Source organism: Homo sapiens, chromosome 7, assembly GCF_000001405.40.
Source record: "Homo sapiens chromosome 7, GRCh38.p14 Primary Assembly".
NCBI classification, from domain to species: domain Eukaryota; kingdom Metazoa; phylum Chordata; class Mammalia; order Primates; family Hominidae; genus Homo; species Homo sapiens.
This window is the reverse complement of record NC_000007.14, coordinates 115,764,881-115,782,970: the sequence shown is the minus strand read 5'-3', so window position 1 is coordinate 115,782,970 and position 18,090 is coordinate 115,764,881. Positions and strand designations below refer to the sequence as shown.

The following is an 18,090-nucleotide window of genomic DNA, read 5'->3' as shown; positions in this document are numbered from 1 at the left end:
GCCAAAAGCCACCAGGCTGACAACTGGAGTTTGGAGTGTGTTTTTGCAAGGCTAATTTAAGGTGAACTTAGATGGATTCAAGATTTATAAGCCTTAAAATGTCCTGACTGGAGCAAAGTTCAAGTAAAGTAATCTGCTGCTCACTGCACAGACAGGGCTCAGCCCACACTGCCCTGTGATTTAGTCTATAGTCAAGGAGAGTTTTAAAAACAGGCAGAAGGGCTGAGTTTCTGTGTTTCACTTCAAAGGTCTTCTAATAACTGAGAGGATTATACTCTTTTAACCAGCTAAGAAGGTTAGGTGGTTTTGAGCGAGTGCTTTTATAGCTATCAATAATTCTAAGTTTAAACTTTAAGGATCGCCTCTAGTGTACATCTCCTTTAACACATTAATGACTGTGAGAAACTCGCACTTCTGTCTTATAATTTCATAATTTCAGAATAAATGGCAGAACACTTCAAGGAATTGAAAAGACCTCTGGAGCTTCACAGAGTGGTGGGAATTGGATTGAGAAACAATCTTGAGAACCATTTAATTAATGTATTTAGCCTATTTGAAATAGTTTTTAAAAGTGCCCTGAATATAAGAACATATTATTTAGAATAATTGCCAAAAATATAGAAAGTGGGCTTTGATATTAGTTGCTGTACCCAAGCATGTTATAGCCAATACTACTAGATTAGGAGGAAGTTCAAATGTTGCTTTCTAGTGGCAAAAAGAAAAAAAAAATGAACAAAAGGAAACCTTCCTCTATATGAAACACTAAGGATAGTTTAATTGAAATGAAAAGGAACAAACAGAAAACAGCTATTATTTTTAACAAGGGAAGAGAATATTAATTATACTTCTGAATGAATGCCCTTTATAAGGAGTTTCATTTCTTTCTTCCTGTTTATCAGTAGAGAGCTAAAATACTCTATAATGCAGTTTCTGTGTCTAATAGATACATAAAAGGTAAACAATCAGAAGGTTAAAGTGCAGCATCGATTTGTTAAAAATAAATTGTATTGTCACACAAAAAACACACTGTGTTATTATTTTATAAATTTCCTTTTCAAGGAGGCTCAGAACGAGACACCTATGATGGTACAGGGAATTGCAAATTACCTCATTTAAAAATAATAAAATGATATTTCAAAGTAATAGGTTACATCTTGTAAACAATAGTTGATGTTTACAATGGTTCTGAGGGAAAGCAGGGAAAGAGCTTTTGAGATTTTAAGTAACATCAGCCTTTATAACTGTAAGAAAAAACAAGATAATTAAATAGTGGTTGTTTCTTTCACTTTTAAATAGTATTCTTAGGCTGCACTAGTATATTTTCCCTGGCAGCATCAGAGACAAATATGGATTGTTGCACTACAGATGAAAAACGAATTGTGCAGAGCCTTTTAAATGGCCAGACATCAAGCAATGGGTTACTCATTCCCTCAGCACTCTTAACTTAAACAGCCCCAGTTTTCCCCCTAAACATACCTTTTATTTTCTACAAATGTGCATATGTTGTATGTGGAAGCTTAGCAAGTTCTTTGTCCGCTTCTTTTATTTTAAGGTCTACTTTCCACCTGTGTTGGAATAGGGGTAGCAAGACATAAAACAGTCTAGCCAGGCTGTGGGGACAAGCCTTCCCTGGGAGAGAAGACTGATCTGTTTTCTTCTGTAAAATGAAGGAGGCTCTGATAAACATAGAATCATATTTTTTACCACAGTACTTTTTTCCAACACATGCAGCACCATCTTAGAAATAGAATTTGTGCTGATCTTTATTTCCTTGGCTCAGGAACCAAGGGTACCCAGATGCTCTGGTAAGTTTTGCACTGGTTTCATCCTTAGTAAATGTGTTTGTTATGATTAGACTCATTTGAAAAGCTCAGGACCAGAGAGATTCACAGCTGAATTCTACCAGAGGTACAAAGAAGAGCTGGTACCATTCCTACTGAAACTATTCAAAAAAATTGAAGGGGAGGGACTCCTCCCTAACTCATTCTATGAGGCCAGCATCATCCTGATACCAAAATCTGGCAGAGACACAACAAAAAAAAAAGAATACTTTTCAAATTTTCTAGTTTGACTTACACCAAGAAGTCTTCTGTTATACTTGTGGAGTTAGCCTTTAGCTTTGAGGGCTTTGAACCCTGAGGCTAGAGTTCAGGGGGGAAAATCTTCAGCAGGGGATGCCCCATTCCTTGCAGTGAGGAAACTGAAGTCCCCATGAGCTGCACTCACATACATTGCCTATTACAGGAGTGGATTAACATGAGTTTTTCTGTGATATCTCATATGCATTTTAAATATTGGATTTATTTATTTATTTATTTGCTTATTTATTTATCTGTTTGCAGCTAGGAAGTATTGCATTCCTATCAGAAAATGCCACGTATTTCATTAACCAATCCCTAAGTATATTACAGTGGGCATTATCTTCTAGAAAGAACTACAAATCATAGGACTGATTCTAAGTTTGATCTTTTCATTCCTCTTTCCAATACAGCAGGGATGGGAGTCAGAGCAACTCCAAAGCCACACCTTAAGCTTCACCTCTGGCTGATCAGACATATATTTTAAGATTGGACCTTCCATTGATGTAATAATCTTAAATTTACCAAAAATGGGAAAAGGGTAAATCTCCACCTATTCATGACTTCTACTGAATTAATGACATTCGAGTTCTATGACACATCTCTATTGTTACTGCATTATGGACTGCCATTTTTTTCTGTATTCTTTAAAAATCCAAAGGCATTGACTTAAAATGTGTGTATATATCATTGATTTTCAAGATATTCACTTAATATGGCAACACTAAAATGCATTTTTTCTCCTGAAGATACAACAAACTTACTGTGTTTGGAGTAATTTTATGGTAAGCTTTTTCCCTGTTACTTTCTTCACTCTGTGCAGCAGTTGCAGAAAAATTTCTTCTCCAATTTTAGGTACAATGGCAGTTATAAAAACAATAGTGGAAGAGAAATATAATTTTTTTTTGCCTAAAGATATTTCCTACTTCCTGTAAAGAAAGAGCACTGAATCATGAACTAAACAAGATAATACACTTATGCTGTCTCTAAAAATGATATTTTGAGATGGACTTGGAGATCCAAAAGGTTTCTTCAATGGTTTTGTTAACATCAGATGCAATTACATGAAGTAATTTAGTCATTTAGCTATGCATAGCTGAATGTGTGACACAGGGCTACACTTGGTCACTTGTTGCACATAGACACACCCCCAAGCCTAACAGAGCAAGTTAGTGATTCATACACTCTAGAAAACCAAACCAAAGCAAGCCAAGCCAAAACAAAAACAAAATTTAAAGTAAGCCCATCTTGTTAGATGCTTTTGATAATTTCCTCTCCTGAAACTAGGGGAAGGCAGGGCAAAGATTCTGAGTTTGTTGCTTTATGTTATTTAGAAGATGAACTTTGCTTTCACTAAATCTATATCTCTAGCAGCTTTGCTTATATTCTGTATAACTAGTTAGAGTTCTGGAACACAGACTATCATATATTACTATTACATCAGCTTATGCTCTTGTTAGATATCTTCTGGGGGCATCATTTGGAGATATGAGGGCTGCTTGATAAATAGTGTAGTAACTATGGCTCATTTTTAGGCATGGCTACAGAAGACACATAAAGCCTGAGACAATTTGTTACTACCAGTATTATGCATTAGTCTGTTGAAAGCAATGGAAGTGTGATTAAGAAAAAATCTTATTACCAGTTGAAGGTCTCTGAGTTTCTCTGGCTACTTCCACTTTTTTCTTCACAATGAGAAATGAGAAAATGTACAAGCAGCTCTTAGGAAGTTTGCTCTCCTCATCTGAAGTTAGTGTTGTGGGTGATGCACACTTGTATCTGAAAGCTTTTACAGGTTATCAAATCTTGTATGTGTATGGCATTTCTTCTACCTTCAGCGATCATCTGATCTTGTTTGCAGTTTTTCTGGCCCAAGGTAAGTCTGAGAACAAAATGGAATTTAAGTGCTGCTCAGATTGGTAGACTATTGCATAGCTAACCTATCTCTAAAAACAATCCACACAAATTTAAAGCAGAAATGAAGCCTATTGCTGCTGTTAAGCTAAAAGTCTATTCAGAATCCCTAGGTGGCATGGAAAGCATTTAGACTCATTTCATTCACATGTCAGGTAAAGACTTTCATTTAGCAGTGAGATGAATGCTGAATAATGGATCTTTTGAATAATGTAATTAAGAATTCATTAGAGGGGACTTAAAAAATGACAGAATGCAATGTGTGTGTGTACTCCCTACACTAAACTCCCAAAATGTATCATAGGGTTGATGATTTTTAAAAATCAGCAGAGAACCAATTAGAAAAATACTGATTTCATTTACAAAATTCAGACAATAATTTCAATGAGGAACAAATATACATTTGAATTTATTAAAAATTATGTTAAATCATGATTAAAGATCATTTATATTATTTTAAAATGTACTCATAATATGACAAAGGACTTAACCAACACTTTCTGAAAAGATCTCTTAGTGTTCACCATGTGAACCTCACAATATTGAAGAAATTCACTTTGTTCTTAGATATCTGATCGAATGAGAAATGGCAAACTTCCCTTTTAATTCCTTGCTGTATTTTAATTTAAATGATGAAAAGGTTTAAAAGAGACCCAAACGTGGCAACAGCAGGTTAGAGATTTGCCTGTAACAAAAGCAGGTATTGCTGTTATCTTGTATTGCTGTAATTTACACAAAATGAAGGATGTGAAGAATCACGGTTTCATCAGTGAGCAGACATACTAATACTCCTACCATCCCAGTGTTCCCATAGCCTCTGTTGTAGCATGCTGCTTGCATGCTGTGGAAAGAAGCCACCTGATGAACAAGAAGCAGAAGTTTGTGGATATCAGAGTTCAGTGAGTGAGGACCTAGGAGAATCTCTTATAGAAGCGATGATAGAATTGTTACCATTTTTCTTGGTAAAGAGGACATTCTACTGAAATCTTAGAAATGCATTTTCCTAGACCGGGTGTAGTGGCTCACGCCTGTAATCCCAGCACTTTGGGAGGCTGAAGCAGGCAGATCACTTGAGGCCAGGAATTTGAGACCAGCCTCAGCAACATCATGAAACCCTGTCTCCACTAAAAACAGAAAAATTAGCTGGGTGTGGTGGTGCATGTCTATAATCCCAGCTACTCAGGAGGCTGAGGCACGAGAATCCCTTGAACCAGGGAGGTGGAGGTAGCAGTAAGCCGAGATCACGCCACTGCACTCCAGCCTGGGCAACAGAGCAAGACTGAAAAAAAAAAATGCATTTCCTAGCATTTGTAATAATCTATTTTAGTCCATGGAAAGGAATCGTATTCAATAAATTACTCTTGCATTTTTTTTCTCTTAACATGTTACAAGCCATTATTATCTGTGGCATAAAATCTATTATTTTTTTCATCAGTTTTTTTTTTCCAAAAAGCCAAAAAATTGATGGAATATAATTAATTAATTTGCTTTCATTGTGCAAAAATGTGGGCTCTATTGAATTAGTGATTCAATTGTGAATATATGACCTAAACATTTTATTTCACCTTGTTAAGACTAGATTGAGACAAATAATTAATCATCTAAAAATAGTTGTTTCTGAGTCTTGAGCAACTACACAGAACTGACTTGTAAACTGAGCCTGATTTCCCATTCCCTTTTGAGAATTCTGGCCCAGAAGAGCTAGACTCTTAAATGCACAGTTTTAATAAAGTAACTAATCTAATCCCCTCCCTTTAAAATTTAAAAATAAAAGAGCCACACCTCTTCGGATGGAATTATTCATCCAGACAGAACATTGGAAGGAAGATTTTAGTGCTGATTGAATTCCCAAGGCTTTCATTTTTTTTTGAAGATCATTTCTGTCTTTAAAGATTACTCCTAGCTAATTGGAAACAGTATGACTTGATAAAATGAACAAAGGATAAAGAATTGAAAATGTTGAGGTCTAATACCTACTGCGTCAGTGACTACTGCTATGTGTTCCAACCACATTGCATTGCCCCTCAGTCTTCATTTTGCTTTCTGCAAGATGTGGAGTTTCTCTTTTCACACTAGGAGTGAGCTAGTGAACACAGGAAGGGCGGATGAAGAAGGTTACCATCTCTGACAATCTTAATATAGCGGTATTATTATTTATGAGATAAATCTAAATTTATGTCCTTGAAGTATATGTACATGGGAAGAACACAAAATAAACACACTTGTTAGCATCAGTTGACAAGTACAACGTAATACATCCTGAACTTAGAACATAAATGTTGAAGAAATCCAATGTAGGAAGTGATCAGAGTTGAGCTGCATTGATTTAATAAATTTTCTAGGAAGAAAGGCATGTTTTAGCTAGGTCTCTTTAAAAAAATAAAATTAATCTTTGAGTTTTGAAGCTAGAAAGACGGCCTTTAGATATTCTTTTGAAGAATGGTCTCTATGGAAGACATACTCTAAGATGACCCACAAGGAGCCTTGAATAATGCCCCCTCCTTGAGTGCAGGTGAAACCTATCACTTGCTTCTAAACCATAGAATATGGCAAAGGTGATAAGATGTCAATTTCTGTGATTTTGTTTTGTTATGTAATACTTTGCCTTAACAGACTGGAGGCAGAGAGATTCTCTTTTTGGCTGTGAAGAAGCAAACAGCCATGTTATATACTACTTATGGAGAGGGCCACCAGGCAGGAAGTTTTCTGGGGCCTGAGGTCATCAGTCCTATAGCTACAAGGAAATAAACTCTTTCAACAACCTCAAGTAAACTTGGAAGCACGTTCTTTTCCAGGTGAGCTTCCAGGTGAGGACACAGGTAATCCATGCCAGGACTCATGACTCATGGAACTGTGTGATAAAACTATGTGTTACTTTAAACCATTAAGTTTGGGGTAAGTTGTTATTCTGAAAAATAAAATTAATAATATAATCTAATATGTTCTTATTATGGAATGCTATCAGTAAAATAATTTTACTTTGCATCTCAATATGTTTTATTTCTAAATTATATATAAAATTACTGTAAATATGCAGATTGTCATTGAAGTTTCATTTCCTTCTTAGTTTATTACACAATAATAAAAAAATATAAGTTATTATCTTTTCCTCTTGTCTACCTAATGGATTACCTCTACCACACTTAGGGTTTCTGCAAACACTTTAGAGAACTGGTGCTTGAATCTGGGGTTTTGCTGGTTGTAGATCAAGTATTTGTGTACAGTAAGTTTAATTGTACTTCAAAAAATGCCTTGCTTATTACAATCTACATATTGTTACTATTTCTACCAAGTGCCAGATGTCCATCTGCAGCTGACCTTGACTGGACCCCATGAAAGACTCAAAAGTGTGGAAGAGAATAATAGTGGAACACTGGGGGAAGGGGCAGAGGTTAAGACAACATCACCCTGGGTCTAGTTGTGTTTAACCTTCAGGTCAGGCCATGAGGGTCTTAAGTTTGCTTGTTCAAACAAATAAACAACCCATACTTAATAGTTTTTACCTGCATTCTATCTTTCTAAGGAATACATAGAATATTTATATATATGAGATAGTGCATTTATACACAGTCTTGGTACATTCTATCCCTACTTCCTTACACTTTGCCCTCTTTTTTAATTCAGAATTTTATAAGTGAGGTCAAATTGACCAAAGATTCTAGATAGTCAGGACGCTATATGTATTTTATAGGAAACAACTGGAAAAAGCCATTTTACTTAAAATTTGGGACAGTCACATCACTTATTCCCTTTTGTGGTAAATACAAACTAGATTTCAAGTTGGATATTTAAAAATCAATGACTGAGGCTGAGGCAGAGGAATGGAGTGAACCCGGGAGGTGGAGCTTGCAGTGAGCTGAGATCTTGCCACTTCACTCCAGCCTGGGCGACAGAGTGAGACTCCGTCTCAAAACAAAACAAAAAACAACAACAACAAAAAAACAATGACTGTTAACATATTTTATCTTCTATTCCCAACCACTGGGGGACTAAAGTTGAGGATGTCCTGGGAATAAATAGATAATTGTCATTTACTCAGTAATTACTGCACATAAAGTGTGAGGATGGAAAATTGACCTAGGTTACATCTTTTAATCCTTACACTAGCTCTCTTGGGTTCAGTAGAGAAGAGTGATTCAAAGCACTACTCCAGAATCAGAATGTTGGGTTCTTATGCCCACTCTACCACTTTATGTAACTTTGGCACATAAAGTGTATATAATTTTTCTCTGCTCCAGGCTTCTAAATCATTCATTCATTCAACAAGTATGTATTAGTACATTCTATGAGCCACCTATTCTTTCAGGTACTGGGAATTTAATAGTGAACAAACTAGTCTAAATGCCACCTGAATCTCATGCTCTAGTGGGAGAGATTGAGATGATGGTAAAATAAACAGATATATGAAATGTTAGGTGGTAGCAAGTGCTCTAAAGGAAAGTAAAGCATAATAATTTGAATGGATAAAAACAGGAGGAGGATGCTATTTCTACAGAATGGTCAGAAAATGTCTCTCTGAGAAGGAAGGTGTCCTTTGAGCAGAGGTTAAAAGGATGTATAGACAGAAGCATGCATATATCTGGAGGAAGAAATTTCAAAAAGGGTGAGGAAAATGTCCCAGGGCCCAAAGAAGAGAACGTACATACTTTGGAGAGAGTCAGAAGGCCAATGTGGCTAGAGTAGAATGAGTCAGGAAGAGACTGGTAAGAGATACTCCCAGAGAGGTTGCAGGGCCACGATCATTTTGGGCCTTACAGGATGAATGGAGCTGAAGGTTACTAGAAGTTTTTGGAAATTCTAATATGACATCATCTGCTTTACCTTTTAAAAGAATTCTTCTTGCTAGTGTGTAAACAACACATTGCAGGGAACAAGAAGGGGAGAAGGGAGACCAGTTAGAAGGTCATTGCAATAATTCAGATGAGAGACGATGTTGGCTTTGACTATGATAGGATTCCAAGTGTATTTTGAAGGTGCAGCTAATTGCATCTGCTGATGGATTGGAATAAAATGTAAGAAAAAGTTGTGAATAATGATACTCAGATTTTGGTAAATGGAAAAGGTGAATTGTTATTGACTGGGTTGGAGGAAACTGGAATTAGAAAAAATTTGGAGAACGTATAAATAATTCTGTTTTGAGCACGACAAAATCTTTCATGCTATCAAATATCTAAAGAGAGATATTAAGTGGGAGGTGAATACACAAAGTTCAGAGAAGTGGATGGGTTATCCTGGTGCTTAGTCATATTTAAAACCATAGTAAGAGGTGCAGTTACCAAGAGAAGATTATATTTAGCAGGAGAACAGGTCTTCCCCACTTTCTCCCTAGTCTTATTTACATGGTAGTGTGTTGACTATTTGGAGTTTATGTAAATGTTTTCCATTTTAATAAAAGTTCAGGAGATAAGCTAATAGAAAAGAAAAAGATTTGTTCAAACATTATCTCCCAAATATACCAAATAATACATTACTCAGTCCAGAGGGCTGATTTAACTTTAACTTATTTAACTTACAGACTTTGAGAATTAAATATCATCAATAAAAATAAATATATTCATGTACAATTATTTTTGGCATATATTTCTGGTTTTTGGTCCCACCTTCTTATATGATGAATTCTTTTTCTTGTACAGGTATTTTTCAATATCCCCTTTGCTTATTTTTTCCTAATGTTCCTTCCTTTTGCCTGTTCCATTTTATTTACTTTATATACTTTACTTTGCATTTTCTCTTCAATTTTCTTTAGCGTTCAATCCAATCCACATTTAGACTCTCAAATGATTTCATGCCCTTAACACTTCCTTCTCTGTCATCTTTTCTGTTCAGTTTTGACCCTCGGTAGCTGGTGATATTTAGCTTGGAGAAGGGCAGAACAAAGTTATGACTTAAATGCTCTCAATTTACTCCACAAGCATTTGTGGAATACGGCTCTTAGATAGCAGAAGTTTAAGATAGGTATCATGTATTTACTGTCTTTTTAAAGATTCAAGTCTAGTTGGGAAAACATGATGTTCCCAGAAGGAAAAAAATCAGTGTGGAAATAATGGTAAATTTTTCTATTAAAAGTTATGCACACAAATATCGAGGTGCAAATGAGTAGTTGAGTACTGTAGTGGGGTAATGTTTAAGAAAGTTTTACATTGTCTTAATATATTTCCCATTACCTTAAATTGTGGGAAGGTATACATGTGTGACATTGAAAATATTTCACAAGAGTGGAGGAGGGGGCACCAACCAATCTGACTTTCATTGGGTGTCCTTGTAAAATGCAAATTAAAACCATTATGAGATACCATTACACATCTATCAGAATGGCTATTTTTAAAAAGTGTTGTTGAGAACGTGGAACTGAAATTCTCATGTATTGCTGGTGGAAATGCAAAATTGTACAGCCACATTGGAAAGCAGTTCTGCGAATAAAGTTAAACCTATCTTTATAATACAATCTGGCAAGTCTAGTCCTATGTATTTACCAAGATAAATGAAAATGTGTGTTTACATAAACACTTGTAAGTAAAAGTTTATAGTGCCTTTATTCATAAATGCTTCAGACTGGAAAAAAAAAACAAAATAACTGTCAATTAGGCAAATTGTCATATATCCATACATTGAAACATCAAAAAAGAAATAATAAAGAATTACTGATACATGAAATGGCTTGGATGAATGTTATCATTGTACTTGGAGAAAGAAACCAAATTATAATGTTTATATGTAATAGATGATGATTCCTTGCTATGACATTCTGAAAAAGCAAAACTATAGCAAAAACATTAGCAAAATTATAACAAAAACATTAGTAATTGCCAAGGGCTATGGGTGTGGTAAGGAGTTGATTACAAATAGAAAAGAGAAAATTGGAGGGATGATGAAACTGATCTATATTTTGCTTTTGGTATTTGTTACATGACAATATGTGTTTGTAAAGATTCATGGAACTATACACTATAAAAAAGAAACTTTTATTTTATGTTAAATTATACTCCACTAAATGTGGCTTTAAATTTTTTTAATGGAAAAGAGACAGAAAGGTAAACAAAATCTGTTTCCTGAATATGATAATCAGGTGTTTTGAAACTGAGTTTAAGTTTGAATAGTCTATCAAAGGGAATAATACATCATGTACCCTGAATTGAATTCTATTTCATTTTCATTGTTAACAAAAAATCTTCATTTAATGAAGTAGGTAGTTTTAGCAGAAATTCACCTATCGGAGGGAGAAAAGACAAGGACATCTGCCTAAAAATACTGATATTCCTAATGAAGGAAGGACATAAGATTAAGCTATGCTAAAAGCTATACCATGTATTGAGTACCTTCCTCACGTAAAGTGTTTCATACATAATGTCAAATATTGTATAACATTTCTATAAGGTGGATGCCACTTTTATTATTTCTTGTTTACTGATGGGCAAACAGTTTCAGATAATTTAAGCATTTTGTTTAGAATATGGCTAAGCCAGATTTCAAACACAGGTTATTCTGACTCCGCAGTTTATCTTTTCTCTGACACTGTCCTGTCTCCTAAATCATTCTCACGAATGTCTTCTCAATGAGAGAATAGTCATACATAGTTTGAATTATTCCATATTTTGTTGAGAGATGTAAAATACTGAATTCTCTTTGTCAAAAACTTAGACTTCTTCATAAAATATTGCCCACTTATCCAGCTATTCAAAGGATGCATCATTTAATTCCTGACTAATCTTACCTTACTCTGCACCTATGCTCAGAATAATACTGTTTCTGGTCTTCTTTTAGGGTCTTTGCCAGCCATTTCAGATCTTTCCTAAGATCTTAGTATTTGGACAGTGGAATTTTTTTTTAAAAAATTGTTATATAACTCAGAATAATTATACAATTAATTTGGATATATTTCTTATGTACTCTGGCAATGTATTCCTTTAAACATAGTCATCTAAAGACTATATGCTGGGTCAGGTGCAGTGGCTCACACCTGTAATCCCAGCAGTTTGGGAGGCGGAGGTGGGCAGATTACTTGAGGCCAGGAGTTTGGGACCAGCCTGGCCAACATGGCAAAACCCTGACTCTACTAAAAATATAAAAATTAGCCAGGTGTGGTTGCACACACCTGCAGTCCCAGCTACTTGGGAGGCTGAGGCATGAGGATCACTTGAGCTACAGAGGTGGAGGTTGCAGTGAGCCAAGATTGTGCCACTGCACTCCAACCTGGGCGATAAGAAGGAAACAAAGAATATGTGTCCTCTAAGTAACTGTAAGTTCTTTAAAGACAAAATCTATCTCATATTTTCTGGTACACTTTATGACATTAACTCAAAATCCTCCTAAATAAGATATATTTAATAAACATATTTGAAGAAATAAAGGAAGAAAGGAAGGAATGAAAATGATAAAGGAGAATACATTAAAAATTTATGGAGTTGGATGGACTTTCATCCAAGTTCCAGATTTCTTATTTGCTAGTTGGTTAACTTTGACTTCATTATTTAACCGTGCTAAGACTCACTTTCCTCTCCTATAAAGTGAGGCTAATCATCTATTTATTGTGAATTATTGTCAGGATTAAATGGGGAAAATATGTGAAATGCTTATTAGCACAGTTCCAAACATAGTAAGTGTTTGAGGCACAATATTTATTAATAATGTTAGTAAAAATTCTATTATTCTATTCTATATTGTTTCATTAATAATAAAAACTATACATTAATGATAATATTTAGGTGCTTTCCAAATTTCCTTTACTTTTTAATTCTCCTTTTGAATTCTAACACAGATACATAATTTAGAGAATGTGACTATATGAGTAGAATGATTTAGTCCAGTTTTTAAGTTATTTTCCTTGAAGTGAAGGGAAATGTGGTTATGAGAGAAAGGATAAGTTGGGGTGGCAGCTCTGGATATTTCATCTATATCCATAACCATATCTACTATTATCATGTTTGTGTAGTAGAAATAATTTGAAAATGATTAATTTGATATAAATATAGCATTGAAAACTCTATAAGAATAAGTAACATAAAATTAATCTATGATTCCTAAGGTTAATAATTGGTGGCTCCAAGTATGGCTCAAGCATAAGCTAAATCAACCCCTGGATTTATGCCTATTAAGTTAGTGTTAGAGGAGTGTGTCTATCTGGGACCAATTTTCAAGAAGCCCTAAAGAGTTTCTTAAGGGGAGAACTTGTTCTGATGAAAAGGAAAAGCCTGCAAGCAAGCTTTTGTCAGACACAAGGTTTCTGTGTCCAAAAGGATAAGCTATTTCTGAGCAAGCATTGTAAATATCCTTTGCATTAGCCCCTCAATTTAATCAATAAATCTGAGTCCCTCTGAGGAATCAGGGATGGAAGCAGAGTGGCTGTAATTAACAATGGAAAGAATTATCTCATACAAGAGAAAACACCCATAAGTTTCATTGCAGTGAAATCTTGAGATAATTCAGTTTCATTTTAGGTTCTCCAATTTTTTTTTTTTTTTTTTTTTTTTTTTATAGCAAATCAGCAGCAGTTGGGCTGCTAGATGAGAGAGTCTGGCCATGGCTGGTGGACATTAGAAAATTTGAGGAGCAAAGTGCTGAGTATGTCATGTGATGAATGGAAGAGCGGCCTCTGAGATTCACAGAAGAGGTTCTCTTGGGACTCCATCCTTAAGAAAGGCGTCACTTCGTCAAGGGGCTTAGAGAGAAAGTATAAACCAAACACAGTTCCACACTTTACATTAAGAGTTTTATTTAAAAGGATGGTATTATATTACCAGTGAACTTCTCTACATGCAAAAGTGGCATTACTTTTTAACCTTTGAGTGAACATCCCTTCTGAAGTGCACTAGTTTTGATTTTCCTTGTAACCAGTGAATTTTTCCTTGTCGTTACAGTGATTTCTATAACCATGGAACAAAGAGTAATTTAGCCCATGTAAGTTGTGACTTTGAACATTTTGCACATCAACCAACTCTGCTAACCGGTCACAGCCAGAGCAATGACGGAACCAAAAGAAAAACGAAGACAATGCTTGAAAGCTGCTGTGAGAAACTAGTAATCCTATATAGTTGGGTGTTCATTCAATCTGTACAGGAAAAGCAAGGAGACAAAATATTGGTTAAAAAAAAAAAGCCTAAAGCTAGTAATTAGGAGCAGGAGAAAGCAATGACACATTTAGATTATTGCACTTCACTTTGTATTGGTATCAGCTTTTGAATATTTCAGCAGCATTCATTTACATACCCACTGAGGATTGCTGAGCAGAAATTACCCTTTGTTCTCAGGGATAGAATTCAGTGGGGTTACAAGTTATATCTAGACTTTGGCCCCTTCAAATAGAAAGAGCTTTGTGATAATGCGTTGAATAATATGTAATCTTCACTTTTGTTAAGTAAAACCACAGGATTTTCCTACACAATCATTTGTAAGTGTTTGCATCGTGAGGATCGAAAATTTGTCTATTGTGAAGATATGCTTTGATGGGACTATTCTAAAAGTAGTTGTGAAATGTAATGTGTGACACCTGGATTTTAATACTTGTCACACCCATCTCTCCCAGTCATCTCCCAGTACCACCTGCCACTCCAGCTCAGAGAAGGTAAGAGTTTTTCCGAAGATCACACAGTTAGTAGTTGAGAAACAGTATCTCAGGTGTCCCTAAGCCCACAATACAGTCTCATTTCTGTCCCAAATTAAGTCCAAGGTCTGAGGTAAGTCATTCTTATGAGACTAAATGAGTGTTACCTGCAAAGTACATGAACTGATGGGTGCTAAGAACCATCTAGGCCTTGCACACAGCTATTTGAATAGGAAAAAAAATAGAAAGCACGTTTTTAACTTCATACACAGATACTAAATAAAACTGAGTTGATAAAGAATGGAAAAGTCTGAATAGAGAGGGAGAATATTCCCCCAAAGAACTTTCTAAACCACCAAAGTGTCTTTTTCAAGTCATGTTCTTATCTGTTTCCACCCTTGCTCCACAGTCTCCTCAAAGACCCTTTGCCAGGTAAGTTTAGATGTATTATAAACATACCCTTGTGAACAAGAGCCGTAATTCTCCTCCACGCGGGGCCCTGCTGCTGATGACAATCAGCCCCAGGTAGCCTTTCACTTACCAATCCCCGTTGGCTCCAAAATAAGTTTTGAAAAAAGTGAATCAGAGCTGAGGATCCAAATGATAAGTAAAATGAAGGAATGCTTGTGTTTTCACAGCTTGTGTTTTTGAGGTGGTCAAAAGTCACGGAGCTGACCCACCCCTGAGAGCCCTCATCATTGCATTCATCTATTAACAACCATTCCTGTTTGAGTTCAGGCTGCTAACCTTTTCTCCAGAGTCATGTTTGAAGATTAGCCTTGTAGTCAGGCTAATAGCAATTCCTCCAAAATAAACCACAACCTATATTTCCCTGTTATTCTGTTTTAAAGTTTAACATCCTTAGAGTTTACATCAGAAGTACCTATTAAATGAACACAGTAGAAACAGTATAAATTTTTTTTAAAGAAGATGTGAGTTGGAAATAATGATTTTCCCCAGGATGAAGGCTGACACCAGAATTAAGTTAAAAAAAATTAAAGCCATCTAGTATCAAATCAGGATAGCTAGAATTTACTCAGGACATCTTGGGTCAAATCTCTACTCAGTGCCCTGAACCATTACCCCAAGCAATGTGCTAGGCTCCGGGCTGTGTTAGACTCTTCCAGACTTTCAGAAATTTTTTCTTCTTGTTGAGTAGAAAATATGAGTGTGTAGAGAACAGCCATACAGAACAGTGGGAACAACAAATGAGTTGAACATGTAACAAAGAACTCAGAAAAGAAAGATGTTGTTTTGTTCGGATGCCAGGGAAAGTTTCACAGAGAGGTGGCACAGAATGGAACTTTAGTGAGTGGCTATTTGCATTTTAAAATACTTAGCAAACAGTTCTATTTCGTGTGTTCAATATTTCAAAGATACATACTGGGTGTTGTGCAGGCTCACAAAATTAAGTATTGATATTTGGGAAACCCTTCTTGGAAAACATAAAGAACCACAGAGGAAAGCCTACATGAGCTTGGTGGAGTTAGCAAAACTTTCAAAGTAGAAATGTTTTTTTGTGCTGAATCCTGTAAGGTTGGTAGACCTCCAGCAAGTGGACAAGAATGCAAAAATTAAGCCACTTTACCATTGAATGTAATAGACTAAGTTTATGAACTAAACATATGCTTAAGAGGAAACTCAGATATTATGTCATCCATTCACTGGAGGACAAGTTAAAATCACCTCTTACTGCCGGGCGCGGTGGCTCACGCCTGTAATCCCAGCACTTTGGGAGGCCGAGGCAGGTGGATCACGAGGTCAAGAGATCGAGACCATCCTGGCTAACACGGTGAAATCCCGTCTCTACTAAAAATACAAAAAATTAGCCGGGCGTGGTGGCGGGCGCCTGTAGTCCCAGCTACTCGGGAGGCTGAGGCAGGAGAATGGCGTGAACCCGGGAGGCGGAGCTTGCAGTGAGCCGAGATCGCGCCACTGCACTCCAGCCTGGGAGACAGAGCGAGACTCCGTCTCAAAAAAAAAAAAAAAAAAAAAAAAAAAAAAAAAAAAAAAAATCACCTCTTACTTTCCTACAATTTATTTGAGAGTATTTGTGTCTCCCCACCCATTTCCATATTTCTTTGGAATACAAGCATGCATGCATTTTTTTGGAATATTCACATTTTGATTACAAATATAAAGTTGAATATATGTTTCTCTTCTAAATTAATTACTTGTACTAGCAAGTAGTAAAGGTGGGAATAGAGAATTACCTCCAAAGCAGCTTTTATTTTAGTTCGAAATACAATCTGGGCATTTCTGTGGCCAACTGAATGGGCTAGAAATCGCATTCTTCTAGAGGTTAACATGAGTCTGTATATCCTGAGTTCCTGCTGACTGACAGCAGTTGGAGAGTGGCTATGTAGAAGGGAAAAGTCAGTTTGTATTAAAATTTAACTGCATATATTACGTAAAGTAAGCCCACAGATGCATTCAAACCTTCAAGCACACTTTGAAAGATCAAAACAAACCATAACTTGCTGAATTTGAATGTAAGGAGTATTTGGAATATGTGTTTTTGAACTAACCAACACCCCCCAAAAGGCTATGTGCTTATATAAATACATCCATATAGAGCAGTACCAGGAAACTTATTCTTGTTATTATATATTCAGGTGAGACAAGTGGCTTTTTGCTGTTGATTGTCAGTGTTTTATTGAAGGCTTGTACTCTACTAAAGAAAGCAAGGTCAGTGCTGGGGTAAATTTCTGGCAGATATTTAAACTTCTGAGAGGGTGAATGCCATTTAGAAATAATGTGGTTTTTATTAAATAAATCTGTCTAATAATATTAAGGTGCTATTTTAATGTTAAGAACAGACAAAGCCAATCTTAGGTACTAAGAGATGGGGGCAGAAGGTTGGGGTCACGGCAGGGAGGGAGTTGAGCCCTAGTTGCACCTGGTTAAGGCTGACACTGAGAACAGGAAAAGATGAAAAACAAAACTCTACTTTATTTCCATATGAGAGGATGGTTTATTTTTATTTAAATTCCCCTTTGCCTTACTGAATTTTCAACAGAGTGAAGTATAAAATTTAAACATATTTCTAATATGGAATGGAAGTAATAGACTTTCTCTAGACAGATATGAAAGCCAGATTTTTGTTTTTAGTAATTCAGTGAAAATTAAGAATAAACATTATAAATATAAAATAAGGATATTGTTATTATGATTCAGCATACCATGAAATTCTAATGCAGATTTTCAAATGTTAAAGTAAGTTTATACCTGTATTTTCTTTAGTTATCTATGCTAGTGAACAAATTGCTATGTCTTTAGTGGATCTAAAATTCACAAGCATGGAGAATCCGAATAAAGCCTAGCAGTTTGTGTATTTACCTTATTTGACAAAATAAAGTTCTTCATCCCAAGAGGAATACTTAAAACCTTATTAATATTATCTCCACAGCACCTTTTACTTTCAGTGACTCTACACTAATAATAGTCTCACAATTCATCTTTAAAGATACAATTAATACTAGCACTGTTGTATAAAACACTGTTTGGAGTACGCATAACTGAAACCAAAACTCTAACAAATTTTGAGAGCCTTGTAAATTG

At 35.7% G+C, this 18,090-nt stretch overlaps 1 annotated feature.

The window, feature by feature from the left end:
• Window positions 10,434-10,593: a silencer, noted in NCBI's record as "fragment chr7:115412432-115412591 (GRCh37/hg19 assembly coordinates)". NCBI's record gives its function as "represses an EF-1alpha promoter that drives an FKBP-Casp9 reporter gene in an ReSE screen in K562 erythroleukemia cells {active_cell/tissue: K562}" and the evidence as "EXISTENCE:reporter gene assay evidence [ECO:0000049][PMID:32094911]".